Below are 20,048 nucleotides of genomic sequence, written 5' to 3' on the forward strand. Positions count from 1 at the left end.
ATGCAAACACATCTCAGCCTCCCCTTACAGATCTCTAAGCAGGCGTCTTGGCTATATACAATTTGGGTCTGATATCTAGTCTTTAAACTGATATCCAATGTCTTTAGGCCAGAGATATCAGATAACGAATGTTTTATTTATTTGCTATTATGAAGGACAACAATTTCTTAGCTTAATGTTATGTGCCTTCTTGAGAAAACCTGTCTGAGAATCATTAACATTAATTCAATTCAGCAAACGAGGATTGTGCCCTTGCTATAAACAAGTCATTGGGCTTTGTGCTTTGATGGACACAATGAAAGGGGCCTTTAAGGAGCTTCTGGTTTAATGGGGGACGTGGATACATACGTATTTGCCCGTACAAGGCAAAATACTATCATAGAAGCCTGAATCAAGTGCCACCAGAGTCTTCTTGCTCTAGGCAGGGATTGGCAAGGGCTTCCCCTCAGATGGCATTTGTGGATTTTGAAGGAAAAGTATTTTTTAAAGAGCAGGGGACAGCCTGTGTGAGTCTGAGAGGCATAGCATTATGTGCTTTATTCAGGAAACAGCAAGTCGTTCTGTTTGGCTAGGTAGAAGACATTTTCTAAGATGAGGCTCACAAAGTTGTTGGGGAACAGAGTGGGATTTATTATGTTTGGCCTGACTTTGACTCCCCTTCTTCTGGAGACAGCACCCTGATTTTCCTTTAGGGGAACTATGCCTGCCCTCTTCTCAGCTCACATGACTTGAAGGAATCGATTGTGCATTGCTGTAAATACCCTCCAAAGGGGCTTGGATTTTGAGTTACATCTTCTAAATGGGAATCATAACAAAGCTGCTTTTTAATGAAAAAAATGTTCAAATGTATATAGACAGAAATAAAAAACAATACAAAATCCCAATTAATCCCCATAAACCCATTCCCAGATTAAACAATTAGCAAGATTTTATAAGACATTCTTCCTCTCTCCTCCCCTCTCTCTCTTATCAAAGTATTTCAGAGTAAATCCTGGACAGCCCGTGTTTTTCCCCTTCCATATATTTCAGTATGCATCTCTAAAAATTATGGACATTTTCTCACAAACAAAATACCATTATTAACCTAATGATTCCTTGGTATCAGTGAATAAGCCAGTCCTTATTCAAATTTCCTGATTACCTCGAAATTGTCTTTTTAAGCTGGATTGTTTAAATCATGTTCTAAACAAGGTCCACACATATCGTGTAGCTTTTATAACTCTTAAATCTATCTTAATCCAGAGCAGCCCTCCTCATCCCACTTTTCTTCCTTTATGCCATTGATTTATTGAAGGAAGCATGTCAGTTATCCCCTAGAATACTACCAAATATGAATTGGTTTGGTTCCTCCCCTGGGGTGTTATTTAAATTTTCCCTTTATTTCTTGTAAATTAAAATTACTCAATGCCTGCTTGTTTCACACTTAGTAATGCTAATGCACACTGTAAAATTTTCTATCCACCTATTGGTTTCATCCATTGATAGTCTTTGCCTGAATTGTCTATTTCATTGGGTCTCACAAAGTGGTGATTTTCTAATTTTGTCATTCTCTTCACACTTACTACCTGGAACTTTTTTTATTGTTAATTTTTATGGATATATAGTATTTGTACGTATTTATGGAGTATATGTGAGATTTTGATATAAGCGTACAGTGTGTCATGATCAAATCTGGGTAATTGGTGTGTCCATCACCCCAAGCATTTATCATTTCTTTTTGTTAGGAACATTCCAATTATTTTAGTTATATTGAAATATACACTAAATTATTGTTTTTATCTTGTTTTTTTGAGGCTGGGTTTCACTTTGTCACCCAGGCTAGAGTGCAGTAGTGCGATCATAGTTCACTGTAGCCTCGAACTCCTGGGCTTAAGTGATCCTCCCGCCTCAGCCACCCAAATAGCTAGGACTACAGGCACATGTTACCATGCTCAACCAATTTTTAAAATTTTTTTCTAGAGACAGTATCTCGCTATGTTGCCCAGGCTGGTCTCAAACTCCTGGGCTCAAAGGACCTTCCCACCACACAGCGTCCCAAAGTGTTGGGATTATATGCATGAGCCATGGTGTGCGGCCTTGGAATCTTTCATTAAAGAAAAATTTCCCTGTGTCAAAGTATTTGGTTATCCTAAAAACAGTTGATATAGAGAAAAGGCAAATTTTCTAATAATTGCCCATTTCTAGGATACCACTTCTCTTTTTAAAAATAACCTTTCAAAACGGCAAAATGTAACAGATAGAAAAAGCCACATAGAACAAATTACCTTAACAAATTATTGTAAGCAAACACCCTTGTGACCACCATCTAGGTGAGGGAACAGCACTGTGGTAGCCACCCCAGAAGCCCTCTGTGTGTCCATTTATTCTTTTATGGTAATCATTTATTTGCTTTTCTTCATGATTTGATCAATCAAGTGTGCATCCATAAACATTTTAGTTTGGTTTCACCTATTTAATATGAAATTTCACATAACTTTTAGTTAATTAATTAGTTTTTTTATTTGGGACACAGTCTCACTCTGTCACCCAGGCTGGAGTGCAGTGGTGCAATCTCAGCTCACTGCAACCTCCGCCTCCCGGGTTCAAGTGATTCTTCTGCCTCAGCCTCCCAAGTAGCCGGGACTAGAGGTGCGTGCCATCACTCCCAGCTAATTTGTTGTATTTTTAGTAGAGACGGGGTTTCACCGTGTTAGCCAGGATGGTCTCGATCTCCTGACCTTGTGATTCGCCCACCTCGGCCTCCCAAAGTGTTGGGATTACAGGCGTGAGCCACTGCACCCGGCCCACATAACTTTTTAAGTGTCTTTTAATCTACAGGTTCCTCTTCCATTGCGTTTCATTTTCTTGAAATTGGACTGTTTGCTCTGTAGAGTTTCTCAGACTCTGATTTTACTAATTGTACCCCCATGATACAGTGCATCCTTTTTGTTTTGTTTTGTTTTGTTTTGAGACAGAGTCTTGGTCTGTCACCCAGGCTGGAGTACAGTGGCATGATCTTGGCTCACTGCAGCCTTGATCACTGCTTGTGGTTTTGATTTGCATTTCTGTCATAACCAGTGATGATGAGCATTTTTTCATTTGTCTGTTGGCTGCATAGATGTCTTCTTTTGAGAAGTGTCTGTTCATATCCTTTGCCCACTTTTTGATGGGGTTGCTTGTTTTTTTCTTGTAAATTTGTTTGAGTTCTTTGTAGATTCTGGTTATTAGCCCTTTGTCAGATGGATAGATTGCAAAAATATTCTCCCATTCTGTAGGTTGCTTGTTCACTCTGATGATAATTCCTTTTGCTGTGCAGAAGCTCTTTAGTTTAATTAGATCTCATTTGTCAATTTTGGCTTTTGTTGCCATTGCTTTTGGTGTTTTAGACCTGAAGTCTTTGCCTGTAATGTTAGTAGGTTGGCACAAAAGTAATTGCGGTTGAGCTGGGTGCAATGGCTCACACCTGTAATCCCAGCACTTTGGGAGGCTGAGGCGGGTGGATCATCAGAGGTCAAGAGTTTGAGACCAGCCTGGCCAACATGGTGAAACCCCATCTCTACTGAAAAACACACAAAAATTAGCCGGGGTTGGTGGCACACACCTGTAATCCCAGCTACTCGGGAGGCTGAGGCAGGAGAATTGCTTGAACTGGAGGGACAGAGGTTTGCAGTGAGCCAAGATTGCACCACTGCACTCCAGCCTGGGCAACAAAGTGAGACTCTGTCTCAAAAAAAAAAAAAAAAAAGTAATTGTGGTTTTTGCCATTACACTCAATGGCATTATGTCATTCCTTCCTCATTCATTAGATAGAATATTTCTTTTCCTTTTCTTTTCTTTTCTTTTCTTTTTTTCTTTCTTTTTTTGAGACAGAATCTTGCTCTTGTCACCCAGGCTGGAGTGCAATGGTGCGATCTTGGCTCACTGCAACCTCCGCCTCCCAGGTTCAAGCAATTCTCCTGCCTCAGCCGCCGAGTAGCTGGGGTTACAGGTGCACACCAACACGCCCAGCTAATTTTTGTATTTTTTATTAGAGACGGGGTTTCACCATGCTGACCAGGCTGGTCTTGAACTTCTGGCCTCAAGTAATCTACCCATCTCGGCCTCCCAAAGTGCTGGGATGCTAGAATATTTATAACTAGAGCATCCCCCCTTATCTATTATTTCGTTATCCAGTGGTCCAGCTCACAAAGGAAAGGCAGGATAAATATTTGTTTCTTTCTCTTTATCAATTAAAATAAGTTGGTTACCTATCATCCTCAAAAGGTGAGCAGTTAATTTTTTAGGATCATTAAAACTCATAGACTTAAACATATTTTAAGTGTTTTGATCTGCTGAAGTTATCATCCTTATTGAGCTTACATTGTCCCATCTGTGTCCAGTGGCAGCTTCTGCAAGTTGGCTCTTGAGTCTTTTTGACATGACCTCTATAGTCTTTGGAAGCTTCCTTGCTATTGTACACCAAGATGTTCCATGAGTTCATGCTGATACTTGGAATTCAAAGTCAGGACTGCAGAGTTTTTACTTAAAACTTCTTTCTTACACAGGCATAGCCTTTCTTCTGAGAGTCCAGGTTCTCAGGGACCTAAGAAATATAAAACTAGAATATCACACAATTAGTTTGCATTGTCTTACATTACATATACAACAGTCTCAGTGAAATCACCTATTTTATCAACACACATCTTATTGAAAAAGTTAAAAAATTATTTGCATAGGCACTTTCCACGTTCTTTAGTTGTATGTACATTTTCAGATGATGTGTCCAGTACATAGTATATACTCTCTCCTCTTTAACCTCATGTAGTCTTAGTTTTACAATAGGTATTTAATGCTCAATGCCAGTCCTTAGGTTGACTTCTCTCTAGTCATTTGGATGTCCAAAATTTGTTGTCTAGAAAATTCCTAGGAAATGTGCAAGAAAACAATATAGAATGCCTGTGTCTCACAGTGTTTCCCACAGAGGATGGTGTCAAACTTAGATTTTCGCCAACCTAAGTGAGAAGTGGTATCTTGGTGTAGTTTTAATTGTATTTCTCTTATTATGAGTCAGACTGAACATTTTTTTTTTTCATGTCTAAGTGTTACTGGAAAGGAGTCCTGATCCAGACCCCAAGAGAGGGCTCGTGAAAGAAAGAATTAGGGGTGAGTCCATAGGGTAAAGTGAAAGTAAGTTTATTGAAGTAAAGAAAGAATAGCACTCCATAGACAGAGCAGGGTATTCCCAAAAGCAAGAGGAGGAACATGTTCGCCTTAGGTGCCATGCTTGTTTGTACATAAGATAACAAAGCAAAAAATCATGGGGAGATGTATTCTACTACAAGGGTTTGTCACAAAAGATTGCTAATCTTTGTATAACTGCTGTCTTCTGCGATAATCTATATTATTATGTTGAAAGCAAAACTTATTCTTAAACTAAAAGTGCTTTTGTTTTTAAGATATTGGGACACCAGGACATTTCCTGGGTCTGTTATATCCTGGGTCTGTTAAGTCCTGGGTCAATTCAGTAAACATTATTAACGTGTTCCTTTAACATTATTAACCTATTTCTTTTAACCGTAAACATCCTTTGGCTATGAATGGCTAACCTGTTGGGAATGTGGCCCAGCAGGTCTCAGCTTCATTTTACCCAGCCAGTCCATGTTCAAGATGGAGTTGCTCTGGTTTGAACACCTCTTACACAATGACCATTTCTTTTTCTGTGAGCTCTCTGTTAATATCCTTTACCCATTTTTCTATTAGATTTTGGCCTTCTGCCTCCCACCATTTTAGGACTTCTTTCCATATTAGGGATATTACCCCTAATACGAATATAAAGGGGTATGTATGTGATATAAGTTGCAATATCTCTTCCTAGTTTGTCATTTGTTGCCTGACATTACTTATAGGGCCTTTTTGCCATGTGACGCTATATGTAATACCTTGTTGGGCTAGCTCTTCAGACACTCCTTTCTTTTCGGATTTTTTGGGCTATACTTATCTGTGTTCTCATTTTAAATGTATATCCAATTTTCCAAGCTCTAGAAAAGAATTGGCATTTTTGTGGGAATCATGTTAAATGTATTAATTAACTTACGGGGCATTGATGTCTTTACGATGTTGACTCTTCTCATCTAAGTACGTTTTCCTGTTCCATTTGCTCTGGTCTACCTTGGACCTTTCAGTGAAAGAGGCTTTTGTTTTTTTTGAGACGGAGTCTCACTCTGTCGCCCAGGCTAGAGTGTGATGGCATGATCTTGGCTCACTGCAGCCTCCGCCTCCCGAGTTCAATTGATTCTCCTGGCTCAGCCTCCTGAGTAGCTGGGATTACAGGCGCCCACCACTGTGCCCGGCTAATTTTTATAATTTTAGTAGAGACGGGGTTTCACCATGTCGGCCAGGCTGGTCTCTAACTCCTGACCTCATGTGATCCACCTGCCTCGGCCTCCCAAAGTGCTGGGATTACAGGTGTGAAACATTGTACCCAGCCAGTAGAAGTGTTTTAAAGGTGTTCTTTATATAAATTTTATATATTTCTTAAGTTCATGCTTGGATATTTTATCTTTTTTGTTATTAGCATAAAAAGGGTCTTCTCGACAGTGTGGTGATTACTCAAGGATCTAGAACTAGAAATATCATTTAACCCAGCCATCCCATTACTGGGCATATACCCAAAGGACTATAAATCATGCTGCTATAAAGACACATGCACACGTATGTTTACTGTAGCACTATTCACGATAGCAAAGACTTGGAACCAACCCAAATGTCCATCAATGATAGACTGGATTAAGAAAATGTGGCACATATACACCATGGAATACTATGCAGCTATAAAAAATGACGAGTTCATGTCCTTTGTAGGGACATGGATGAAGCTGGAAACCATCATTCTCAGCAAACTATCTCAAGGACAGAAAACCAAACACCGCATGTTCTGACTTATAGGCGGGACTTGAACAATGAGAACACTTGGACACAGGGTGGGGAACATCACACACTGGGGCCTGTCGTGGGGTGGCAGAAGGAGGGAGGGATAGCATTAGGAGATATACCTGATATAGATGACAAGTTAATGGGTGCAGCACACCAACATGACACATGTATACATATGTAACAAACCTGCACGTTGTGCACATGTACCATAGAATTTAAAGTATAATAATGATAAAAAATAATAATAAAGGATCTTCTCTTGCGTTGTATCTTCTAACTAGTTATTGCTTATATCTATGAAGGCTATTGACTTCTGAATATCAAAGGCTTTTGAGTTAAGGACTACTATGATGGCATTGTACAGAAATTATTACAGAAGTTATAAATAATTTGGTATTTCAAATGAGAAATTCATCCATCAACCAAGGCAGGGTCAGGAAGGAAAGGAAGAAACAAATAGATATGTATTTCAAAGGTATGGGACTTAGAAACTCATTTGATGTTGAGGAAAGGGTGAAGGAAAGGGCATGTGAGTTTTCTTTTTTCTTTTTTTTCTGTTACCCAGGCTGGAGTGCAGTGGTGTGATTTTGGCTCACTGCAACCTCAGCCTCCTGGGTTCAAGTGATTCTCCTGCCTCAGCCTCCCAAGTAGCTGGGATTACAGGCGCCCACCACCATGCCTGGCTAATTTTTGTATTTTTAGTAGAGATGGGTTTTTGCCATGTTGGCCAGGCTGGTCTCAAACCCCTGGCCTCAAGTGATCCACCCACCTCAGCCTCCCAAAGTGCTGGGATTACAGGCGTGAGCCAGCATGCCTGGCTGTGTGAGCTTTCAACTGGTAACTGCAGTGATAACATTGTTAACAGAAAATAGGAAGCGGAGAAGGTTGGAGAAAAAGAGAAGGTGTGTCAGTTTGGGCATTTAGATTTTAAGACTGGAAGTAAATAGAGAGGTCAAATGTGAAAATTTAGATTTGGAGGCCATCAATAGAGCTGTAGGAGTTTCTGAAATGACTAGGGAGAGAAAGTAGAATAATAAGAGAAGAACCAATGACAGAATGTCAAAGAATTTTTATATTTAAATAATAGGTAGAGGAAGCTGGTCCCTGAAAGAGTCCAAGAATGAAGGATCTGAGAGGTAGAAGGTGAATGAGAATACAAAGTCATAGAAACCAAACGAACAGGGACTTGGCTTATCAATTATGAAATTACCAGTACTTCTTAAGGCAGCAATCTCAGAACTGTTATGAAGATGAGCTAAGACTATGAAGGATTCAGTAAAGAGATATGTTAACTAGGAATGGGTTTGTGGTAGGAAATTTATACTGTGTGTTTCAAACACGTGAAGTCCAAATACAAGAGATCTCGTGATTCAAATAATCTATGTTAAACAAATATGCTCAGATATAGCTTGGCTTAAATTAAAATGGTTACTAACACTTATTTCTTGTTTATTGCCATTAATTCAAAGTTCAGTGCCTTTCTGAATATGGATTTATACTTTACCTTCTGACACATGTGTATGTGGTGGGGGTAGAAGGAGGCTTCAGGTAAAATATAACATTTAAGTGCTAAAAAGGACAATAATTTTTCCCACTCTCAGATAAATGTCTGTTCTTTCACACAGGTATTTATGATAATGATAACCTCTTAGACTTAGGGTTTACAACATATTGTCATATTTCACAGAGACTCACAAGATTCTGGGAAGTAACTAGGACAGGGATCATTATTTCTTAAAGTGCAGAGACGGTAGAAGAATGATAGAACCGGGTCCAGATCTAAGATGTTCTTGACTCCTAGCCTATAGGCATATGTTATGAGTCAGGGTGGAGTGTAGAAAATGTTTATTCTAGGTATTTTAAACAGAAAAGGATTTAATGCAGAGGTTTAAGTGCTTATAAATACAGTTGGCCCTTCATACCATAGGTTCCTCATCTGTAGATTGAACCAACCACAGATTGAAAATATTTGGGATAAAAAGCCAATAAATAATACAACAAGAAAAATATACCAATAAAAATAATAAAGTATAACCACTATTTACATAGTATTTACACTGCATTTTTTTTTTTTTTGAGATGGAATCTTTCTTTGTTGCCCAGGCTGGAGTGCAGTGATGCGATCTTGGCTCACTGCAACCTCCGCCTCCTGGGTACGAGCAATTCTCCAGCCTCAGCCTCCCAAGTAGCTGGGATTACAGGAGTGCACCACCATGCCTGGCTAATTTTTGTATTTTTAGTTGAGACAGGGTTTCCTCATGTTGGCCGAGCTGGTCTCGAACTCCTGACCTCAAGTGATCCACCTGCCTCAGCCTCCTAAAGTGCTGGGATTACAGGCCTGAGCCACCGTGCCTGGCTTGCATTAGGTTTTATAAGTAATCTATAGATGACTTAAAGTATACAGGAGGATGTGCATAGGCTATATGCAAATGCTATGCCATTTGCCATTTTATGTAAGGGACTGGAGCATCTGCAGATTTCATTATCCCTAGGGATCCTGGAACCAATCCCTGCCCAGATACTGAGGGACAACTGTAAGTGGAAAAACAGGCTTTAGACTACCTCCAGAAATGACTCCTGGAACAATATGGTTGAGCTGATTATCAGGGGAATCACCCATGTGTTTGTCTCTGAAATTACTGCAGAGAGCAGGAAGCCACACTAGGAAGTTGCTGATACTGTTGGTACCATCACTGCACCACTTGACCACCTCTAGACATTCACAAAATTGGTGATTTGGCACTGGAACATGGACCTTCAAACCTAAGAATCACAAGAATAGACTTTAGAACACTGCTGCTAAGAAACTCTCCATGAGCTTGCTTGCAAGAAAAAGTCACCAAAAAGAAGTAGGAAGATGGATTCTGCTTCAATTTTTTTCCTTCAGATCTTTCAATAACAAATCTAATAGATGAAATGTAATTCATATTCACAACTTAGCTGTGAGGAAGTCTAGAAAATGTGGTTTTTTGGCTTTCCTGCCCCTTCATACAAGGAGGAAGCTGGAACAGAAATTGAGCAAGCCAATCTACATTTGCCACAGCAAACTTAGTGTGTGTTCATTCAAAATGTTGGCAAAAATAATGAACAGGCCAGAACCATGTGGCACAGCACTAGAAATGGTTGCCAGATGGATATCATTACTAATATTCAAGTAAGTTTGAATGGTTATAATTGGTCACGGTTATAACTGGCAGAGCTGAGACTTAAACCTAGGTCTGACCAGAATGCTATATTGCCTTTCAATTTGATCAGCAGCTCAGAATTCATCTACTCTTATTTCTGTCTCCCCCAATCCCCAAAGCTATGAAAGGGTATTTTTCTAGGATCCTCTCCTGATTTACCAATCCCAATGAAAATGAGATGCAGTTTGCCATTGGGGCATCCATGATGTTTTTGGCAATCACCATGTGACTCTAACATTCCCTACTCCTGCTTAAAGCTATGTTGGCTAGAATTTGGATTTGTGTTGAGTGACAGAGACTCAAAATAAGACTCAAAATAAATGTGAGTTAAACCAGAAAGACATTTATTTCTCTCATGTAAAACACATCCAGAGGTAAGCAGTCAGGACTAGTTGGGCATCTTCCCTTCCAAAGTCATCATGCCCTGGGCTCCTTGTATCTTGTTGCTCAATCATCCTCAGCATGTGTCTTTAACATGAAGTCCAGGAGGGCTGCTTGAGTTCTAGCCATCACATTTGCATTCCAGCCAGCAGAGAGGAAGGACAAGAACACTGCAAAGAAGTAGCACCCAAACCTTTTGGTTACATCTCTTTGAGTACTTGGTAAGTGTCTCCACTTAACTGCAAGGGAAGTTGGCAGATGCAGCCTTTTGGTCAGATGGCTGTGTGCTCAGCTAAAAATCAAGGACTTTTACAGTAAAGAAGAAGGGGAGAATGCATACTACTGGTAAGTATCCGCCTCTGCTATAGTGACCTCATTGCATCCTGCAAAGACATTCACTGTGTCTTTTTCATTATATTGCAAAATTTCAAAATGGCAGGTGTCTTCTCTAGCACCTTGTACAGAGACTGACATATTTTAGGCACTTTATCATCTGTTAAAAAAAAAGTCCCATTTTTATTTTGATGACATTTTAAGTGATTTAAACATAAATATGACTAGAGTATACCTGTATGAAATATGCTTGAAAAGCTGTGTGGAAAACAAAATTTTGTTTTTAAATCTTCATTCTCCTAATACATCAGGGTATTTCTATGGAGAGAAGGGAGGGAAAAGGATTCAAGTAATTTGGAGGAAAATTACAAACTACAGGTAAATCTAAAAGCAATAAAAATGAAAAAGAATTGTTGACATATAAGGATGGGAGGTTAAATAAAGAACTCCACAAAAATCAAACTCAATTCTAAATTTAAAACCAGAATGAAAATTTCAAAGAAGCAACCAGATCATACAACTGCAGTAGGTACACTGTGAACACATATCTTAAGTATAGCATAATGGTATGAAGTGGGATTTGAAATTAAGATAATCCTGGCTCTTCCTGTTATTATGTTACCTCCACCAGTTAATCTCTGAAGTAAAATTTTCTCACCTGAAAAATAATACTCGCTAAAAATTGTTACAATGAGGACATGAGAATATATGCAAACTAACACTGGGTCTAATGCAAAGAAATACTCTATATACCACAGTAATATCACTCTCATGATATATTTTATTTATATGACTCTCTTCTCCTCTCCAAGAATTAAGTACTTCTTAAAAATCAAATCTTGAAAAATGTAGTCTTTTTGTTTTGTTCTTTTTTCTAAGCAGATTATAGCAACAAGACTGGCATACATATTTTTAAAATTTCAGATGATGCAATATTAATAAGTGATCCCATCCATAAATTTATAACTTTAATTATTTAAAAATTCATTTATAACAATGCATGTCAAAATAAATCTGTACTTCAGATTTAACAAAATAAAAAGTTTGGTCTTTTCTTATGCTGTAGGAGCTGAGGCAACTTGCATTTGTGATACTCAATAATACCTGATTTTTCAGCTCATAGGGGGAAGGCAAGATACCAGTTAACAGTTAGCACCAGTAAACTTAGTTCGGCAGATTTCAAATTCTTATTTTTTCTTCTACATAGTGTAGTATACATACTGTTGGCACTTAACAAAGAACATGTACTTAACTCTTTATGATTGTAAGCCCCTCAAAGGTGGGTACAAGATCTTACTCATCTTACCTAGCTATTTTTTGCAGTGACCACTACTGGTTGCCTCCCAAAGAGCAAGTCCCTAATATCTTCCCTAGGTGATGGAACTCATTTAAGATGAATGACCACATGCTCCAGGAAATGGGCCCCCCCTCCTACCTATAAAGCATTAATTAAGGATCTAAGCTAAGTAATTGGCCTTAGGATGAGCCTTTGTTTAATACAATGAGACTAACAGTGTGTGTGTATGGAGTGCTTAATGGAAGATTCTGAGATTTTTTTTTCTCTCTGATAAAAGGCTAAGAACTGCTCTTACTATCCTGCTTGGGATGTTATGAGGGTATAACATCTGAGCTGTGGCAGCCATCTTGTGACTATGAGGTAATAGACACAGCAAAGCAAAGCTGAAGATGATGGAACAGAAACACAAACAGGATCTGGTGCCTGTAAACAATGAACCATTGAATGAACCCTTGAACCTCCTATCTCCACTATTATTAAGCTAAAAGTAAGTGTCCTTATGGTTTAAGCCAGTGTTGGGTTTTCAATTACTTGAAACCAAAATCACCTCAGGTGTTACACAGTATTTTCACCCCCAGAATTTCTTACTGGTTGACTCTATGCACTGGTTCTTATGTTTGCCTGCTCTGACATTTTACCCTTCCATGTCATTGAGCACTGAGGATCCTAACATACTAATTTTATAGTATTATCTAGGTAGTTCATTACTTTCATTTTCTCTTGAGTGACTGATTGCCTTTCTTGGGATTAGTTTTTCTTCAAGTACTTTTGAATTTTGATCTGCAGGCTCAGCTTTCATGGGAGCCTTCCTGCTCTTTACCTCTCCCTTCCTAATCTCCACTCCTTTCCTTTTGTAATTGCTTCTACCACCTGTTCAAACTGAGGGCTCCAGATCTATGGTGATAGTGGAACTATCACAGATCTACAAAGATCTATGTAAACAGAGGAGTAGGCTGTTTGAGAAGATCTGTCTACAATATATAGTCCCTGGCACTGGTTGTTGTTGCTTCTCAGTTTCAAGAGTGAGGAAACTCCATTCAAGACCCTGGTTTCATTACTTTGCAGGAGCTGACATTTCTGGCTACTTCGGCCTGCTTCCAGACCTGTAGCCCAGCTTCTGGCTTACAAATTCATTACACTTATCAGTTTGTTATTTCTGGTACCTGGAAATGTCTATACTGCTTTTGAACACAGCTATGCTTAAAATTTTCTCATTTTCTATTCAGAGCTCCAGAAATATACTTACCTAGGTACTCCATAGGCTAACATTTAAACACTATGTGAAAGAGAAAAAGATGGCTTTTTGGACAACATAAAGTTCTATGCCATGCACCATTCATTGGTAATAATCTTAAGTGAACAACAGAGTTTTGATGAATGAACTAAGATCTGTGTATTCTTCTGGATTAATAGCACACAGCAGATCAGCAGCACTGTTCTGCCTTCTGCTCATTTTTATTCACTCCCTAAAGTTAATGACATCAAAGGAAGAATAACATTGGGTCTGTTTACAAAATGTGTTGCCTATATAAAATATGTCCCATAAAACACCTTCAGATCCAGTCAGTTTAATATAAAATGTTTTTAATTGTTTTTGAAAACATTTAAAAAACAATTTTTGAGCACTTTAATAAAAAAAGAGAACTGAAATGCTACCGCAATATTCAACTACTGTAGTTTCAGCAGGTACAACAGACAACAAAACACTGGGGAAATCTGACTTTTTGCACTAAATGAAACATGAAACAGGGCTTGTTTTTGTCATTTATCGTGTAGTAAAGCACATTATAGTACAAGACTATTATATGAACCTCAGAAGCACTGCACAAAAAAACACTTTCCTTCTTTTCAGTTCAAAAGTCAGTGCTTATTGCAATTATATGCAAAATTATTTACTTCATGAAGTTTTATGATAAACAGTATGCAAAATGTTTTAAACATCAAAACAATAAAAATAATCTGGAACAGAACATATTCAACAATAACTAAGCAGAATTAGTAAACATAAAGTAAATAACCTGTGAATAACTATGCTTGCCTGGTTAACACTGAACCAGTTTCAATACAGCGAAGAAAAAAAAGAGTGGTTACAGGAATCCTAGTACTGTACAAGATAAGTCAATAACACTCATGCACATTTTGTGATCATGTATTAACATGGTGAAGCAAACTAAACTTAATTCTTCCTGCTGTAATATTCTCATGTAAGAGAATAATAGAAATATCTCATTGAGATCAATGCACATTGCTACATAAGACAATTTTATCTGTCACTTTGATGACATTTTGTCTTTTCATAATGAAACACATTTAAAAAGTTTAATCTGTGGACTGTATTGGTTGCATTTATCCTAAGAGATGTGCCTACCACAGGTTCAACAAATTTAGTGCAATATATGAACCCCAGAAAGTTTGCTGGACGAATTCAACCAAATTTAAAGAGTTTGCTGCAATACTGTACAAGGGGTTAAAAATCCTCCAGTCTTAATATTTTTATCAAAAAAGATTTCCATTATTTTTATATTAGTAGGAAGCTAATAATGTAAACAAGGGATTAGAATGGCCTCAAAATCTCCTTTTCAGAGTATCTCATAAAGAAAGGCTCCCATCATTTGTCAGGAGAAATCACACAGTTTCCTTTGGGTATTGCATACTTTGGTGTGCAGTAGTGCTGTGTCTCAATGTACAGTGAAGAAATAACTAGCATCAAGAAAAAAATACCTAACAAATCATGAAATCAAGATAACAGCAAACACACACAAATGCCAATAACTAAGACATATCAATATATAAACCTCTGCGCCAACTCTAGCACCATTTATTTATCAAAATATGTTAATACCCTACCTTGCAAATTTATTGAACAACAAAACCTTATTAAACCCTTCAGCACATTTGCTAAATATTCATTGATTGTAGTCTTCTGATTGGCTTACTAAGGTAAAGGAAAGCTTAGCTAGGTTCAAGGTAGCATAGCAAATGGTTTTATGTTAGCTTTAAAAACAATGGCAATTTAAAAATCTCTTTGAAAGTGATCTTGAAACTCACTTAAATGGAGCTTTCAACCAGTGAGTAGGTTTGTGTCAACATGCAACTCATAAATAATTATTCACAAAACAAAATGGGAGCCATAGAGAGAAACATTTTAAAACAAATCCTGAGTTCTTCTTTTGCAATTGTGGTTATCACAATAAATAAATTAAGCAAGTAATAAAATGCTCTTCTTCTTCAAGTACTATTGATATCCCCTTTGTTTCATCAGAGATATAAAGATTTGTGGCTTCAGACCTTAGGTGGTGAAATGTTTTTTGTTGTTTTTTATGTTATCCTCCTTCCTGTTTTTCAAAGGGATCCTATGATCAAACTACATTACTATATTCAGGAGGAGTGAGGGAGTCAGTCACTCAATTGAAGAGGAAAAAAACTGATTATTGTGGAATATTTTAATGAAAAATTTCAAAGTAAATCTCAGTTAGAATCTCAATATGTACATGCAGCCATTGTGATGAAACTAAGAGAATGCTTTTGTTTTCCTTCTCATTCCCCTAACTTAACAAATAATAAGACATAAAGCATTTTTCTAACATGCTTGTATTTATTATATTAAATTACAAATGCCTGGAGTTACATTTGCTTGTTTTGTGTGTGCGTGCCTGCGCATCTATGTGTGCTAGCTCCATATTAAAATCAACATTTAAATATTAATGCAAGGTCACAAATATAAATGGCTACTTGTTTTTTTTCCCTTAAAAATTTTAGTGCAGCTTTGCTTTCCTTAAAGTAATATTTAATTTTCCATTATTTTCTATTTAAGCCCTTCATCGTGGGTGTAAATGGTACTGAAGCCCCAGAAAGTCCTACAGAGATTTTTCACCCTACAGTAGCTCTATGCTTCAAGCCTAAATATTTATAATAACCTGAATATTATCCCTGTTTCAAGGAAGACTTTCTTGTCTACAGTTCACCCTAGCTATGATTTTATATCTAAAAGATAATGCCAACAACAAAACAGCCTATACCTAAAATTGATGGTTTATTCTGAGTTCTGTGCAGATCATCTGATGAAATGAAACTAACTTACACAAAATAAAGATCGACTGCTCTTGTAACAGCTGGATAGTCAATCAATGTGAATAAATGGGGCACATTATAAAATTTAAAACCTAATACTTGTTCTTCTACAGCCTACTGTCTTTAGACACTTGTTAAGAACTGAGGCAAGTCTAACCATTTCCTACTGAAGAAACCACTTCTGCAGCAAACGCTTTTAAAATGTCACAATTAATAGTATTTCTGCTGCGGGAGGCACTTCCATTAAGACAAATACAATACATATGTCTTTAGATACAGTGTGCTACATGTTATAAAACACAATTTAACCCAACATTTCAACAGTAGGATGGTCCTTGCTTTCTATCCATTCAAAACCTGATGAAGTCATAGAATTCATGGATTCACTGCAAATTTGTTGAAATAATGGGTCATTCTTTAATTCTTCCAGTGTAGCTTCATCATCTTGTCCCTGCTGACGACCTGGATCAAACAGTAGATTTGGGTCTAAAGTGTTCAAATCATTGATGCTGCCTGAGAGCTCAGAAGACAACCTGATATCGCTAGAGAAATCAGATGCAGTATTAGTGAGATCAGATGCTCCCTGACCTACCAGCTGCTGGTTGGTTTGCAAGCTGTCTCCACTCAACAGGTCTTTAACAGTGCTATTGAAATCTAATTGTTGCTCTCCAATTTCTGATTGTGCTTGATTATCTCCAGGAGAAAAATTGATCTGACCGGTGCTATTACTTTTGGTGAGGTAAGATGGTGTTTGGAACTCATAAACAGAAGTGCTGGAATCGATCATATTTTGTGGGTTGGCACTAGGAAAAACAGTGGAAGGTTCCAAAATCTGAGTGAGATTCATCCGGGCTGTATAATTAGAGGGCAGGTTGTTCATTCCCAAACCTCTCACTGCATCATCATTGTCGGAATCAAGTTTACTCAACAAAACATTGGTTATTTTTTTACTGTTTGCTTGCTTCTGAAGAGCGTTTGGGAAGGCTGTCTGCATCATGACTGTCAATGGAACTGATTGGCTTCTTTGAGCTATGTTGTTGGCACATGCGTCTGTGTGAACATTTGTGAAAACATGAACTTCTGGGGTAACTGGACTTCCAAAGGGGGTCACATTAGATCGTGGGATATTAGATACTGGATAGAGGGTGCTTCCACTAAGATTACGTTGGCGATGAACAGCAGGGCTCACACTCCGGCATCTGAAGTTGCTGCTGGCAGATGAATTAGTTCCTTTATTATCAAGAGGGGCAGGGACTGCAAAACCCTCCTGTTTGTTGGTGTTATTTACAGTGGCACCTTGATGCTGCACAGGAGAGACAGGAGTCAAACGACCAAAATGAGTGTCATGATGTCTGGATTGAGACTGATAAGACTGTCCAGGCACAGCAAAAGCATGAGGTTTCCTGAAACGGTCTTCCACTAGTTCCTGATAGCTTGGGAGAATACCATGGCCAGAAACTGATGAATTACCAACCCCACTATACCCATTATTCATCCATTCAAGCTTGGTTTTGTCAGGGTGTGTGGCCATGGGTCTTTGCATCGGTTTCACAGGACTACTTGAGACAATGCTGGCGTCATGATATGCCATACTGGAGCTTATTGGAGTGAATGCAAACGGATTCCTGCATTCAACAGGGCTGGGGGGGACACTACTGCTGCAGTTAGAATGTGGAGTACCAATGGGTGTATGTCGGCTACTTCCTAAAGCACTATCCACAGGTGTAGTCTGGGCTAGCCTGGAGCAAGGGCTCTCCCGTGACAGACTCTGAGATCCAGCAATCATTTCAGATGTCGGGGTTGGGGTTGGGGTTGGAGTAGGAGTGGGTGTGGGTGTGGGTGTGGGTGTGTGGATTGGAGTGCCATTGCTGTGGATTGGATGATAGAAGTGGGTGCTGGAAGTGTGAGATGACATTGGAGCTCCTGGAGTTACTGACTGACTCTGAAGGGTCATTCCCAAACAGTTGCCGTAAGAATGAGAATTGTTCATTGACATTTGCTGCTCCATAAGCACCAGCTCTTCCACAATACTATCTTGTGTAAGTTCATCATCAAAAGGAAAGTAGCTTTCATTTGTCTGGGAAACAGAAGGCTCAAACTCCTTCAGTTCAGATTGCAGAGGTAACTGATCTGAAGAATGTGCTTGTATTTGATTTAAAGAAGATTCCTGTATCTGGCTATGTAGCTGCTGGCTATATGTGTCCTGTGGCATTCCTTCTAATTCCCAAACAGATTTCTCTAAGTCATTGATATCAGAGTGCTCAGGAATTGTCATAACACTGATATCTTGCTGTTGTTCACAACTGGCAGATATAAACTCAGAATCTTTAGTGATTTGTTGCCATCCATTTGGATTAAAGCTGCCAACTGACTTTGAATCACTGTCCAAGAGAAAGACACTTCCTTCAAGTTTTACTTTTATATCTGGAGATGATGATGGGGTTGTTTGCTGTTCCAAAGCTGAATCACTGATAACAAGGGCAGAGGAATTCAAGGGTTGATTTGCTCCTATGTGTGAACTGACATTTACTGATACCTTGCTAGGAATCTGAGCACCTGCTGTTGAACCTTCTGTTTTCCCTGAATGTGGAACCTTTTGGTCCTTCTTAACACTGCCTTGTTTCTGCCCTTCTATGGTAGCTGCTGAAAGCTGTTCCACAATTGGTTTCTTTACAGGAGGCACCTGGGTCTCCTGCAATGTAGAAGACAGTCGTTTTCTTGGGCTTTTAGTGCATAATTTAGGGTCTTTATTGATTGAGTCACCATTAGGTGGTGAGCTGCTGCTGGTGAAAGTTAAGTTCTGAGAAGCAACTGATAGAGTGATAGTGCTTTGATTATTGCCTGTTGACGTGCCTGGCAGCATTTCATTACAGCGACTTTTACATTTGGTCCTCTGGTCACAGACCTTAGTTGCTTTTATTTCAATGACACCTTCATTTGAAGGTTTCTGCAGTGCTCCGTCTGTATTACTTTTCTGCCCCAAAAGGGCACTAGGTGTCTGGGGAGCTTTAGCCTCATCAGAGTTCTCTTGGCACTGTACAGGATGCTCATCTGATGATGTTTCGGGTTCCACTTTGACTTCCACAGCAGATGTTCCCCCCGCACTGCTGCTCCTGGACCCAGGAGACTGAAGCGACACGACAGAACCATTCTTGATCTGTGGAACACTCCTTGATTCTTCTGTTGTTCCTGTAGCACTGCTGACTGAGGCAGAATGTTTAAGAGGGGTGTTACTGTTGCTGGGTGTGAGGGATATTGTTGTCATTTTCACCACATTTAGAGAACTCATGTGTGAAGCGGGTACAACAGCAGTTTTGATGGGACTACTAGTAAAGAGGACAGTAGTTGGAGAGCGAATGGTGAGTGCACTGGTGTTCGCTGGTTTGGGTAAGATCTGAGGGTAACGGTGCCGGGCAGAACGATCCCCACCAGGACTGGCTGGAACGTTCTGGGGAGTCTTTGGTGCCTGTTTCACAGACTGCATGTGCTGAGTGACCACCTGTACATTGAGGGGAAGAACTTTGCCGTCAGAAGAACTCATTGGACTCGGTGAAGTTACCAATTGCCTAGTCCGCTGGACCTGTTAAAAGATAGCAAAAAATCAGATTTAACAGGTCTAGCCTGTAAATAGTAATTCATGTATCTGTATATACTTTTAAGTCATTTATTAAATGTTAATGTTAAAAAGAAAAAAGTTCCTATGTTAGAAGAGAGTTCTTCTAGACCAGGTTCTACACAATCAGACACATAAATGTAACAAATGCAACCATAATGCATTATAATTAAAAAATATGTAAGAACATTAAGTTACTTTTCAATTAAGACTAAAAGCTTCACACCTGTGATGAATATTTGCTGAAACAATGATTTAAGGGGGTTACAGGAAGAAG

General features: G+C 38.8%; 1 protein-coding gene across 9 annotated transcripts in view; it reads right to left on the reverse strand.

The window, feature by feature from the left end:
- Positions 1-10,397: 10,397 nt before the first annotated feature.
- The window catches only part of RFX7 (regulatory factor X7), a 157,803-nt gene continuing 148,152 nt past the window's right edge, over positions 10,398-20,048 (reverse strand). For 8 of the 9 annotated variants that reach the window (NM_001370561.1, XM_047432948.1, NM_001368073.2 and 5 more), the window contains one exon: positions 10,398-19,738. In NM_001370561.1, coding sequence (NP_001357490.1) covers positions 16,463-19,738 — 3,276 coding nt within the window. In that variant the 3' untranslated portion in view covers positions 10,398-16,462. The remainder of the gene's footprint in view (positions 19,739-20,048) is intronic. The other variant, NM_001370554.1, reaches the window with a different exon arrangement.

Source organism: Homo sapiens, chromosome 15 (genome assembly GCF_000001405.40).
Source record: "Homo sapiens chromosome 15, GRCh38.p14 Primary Assembly".
In the NCBI taxonomy this organism is placed as follows: domain Eukaryota; kingdom Metazoa; phylum Chordata; class Mammalia; order Primates; family Hominidae; genus Homo; species Homo sapiens.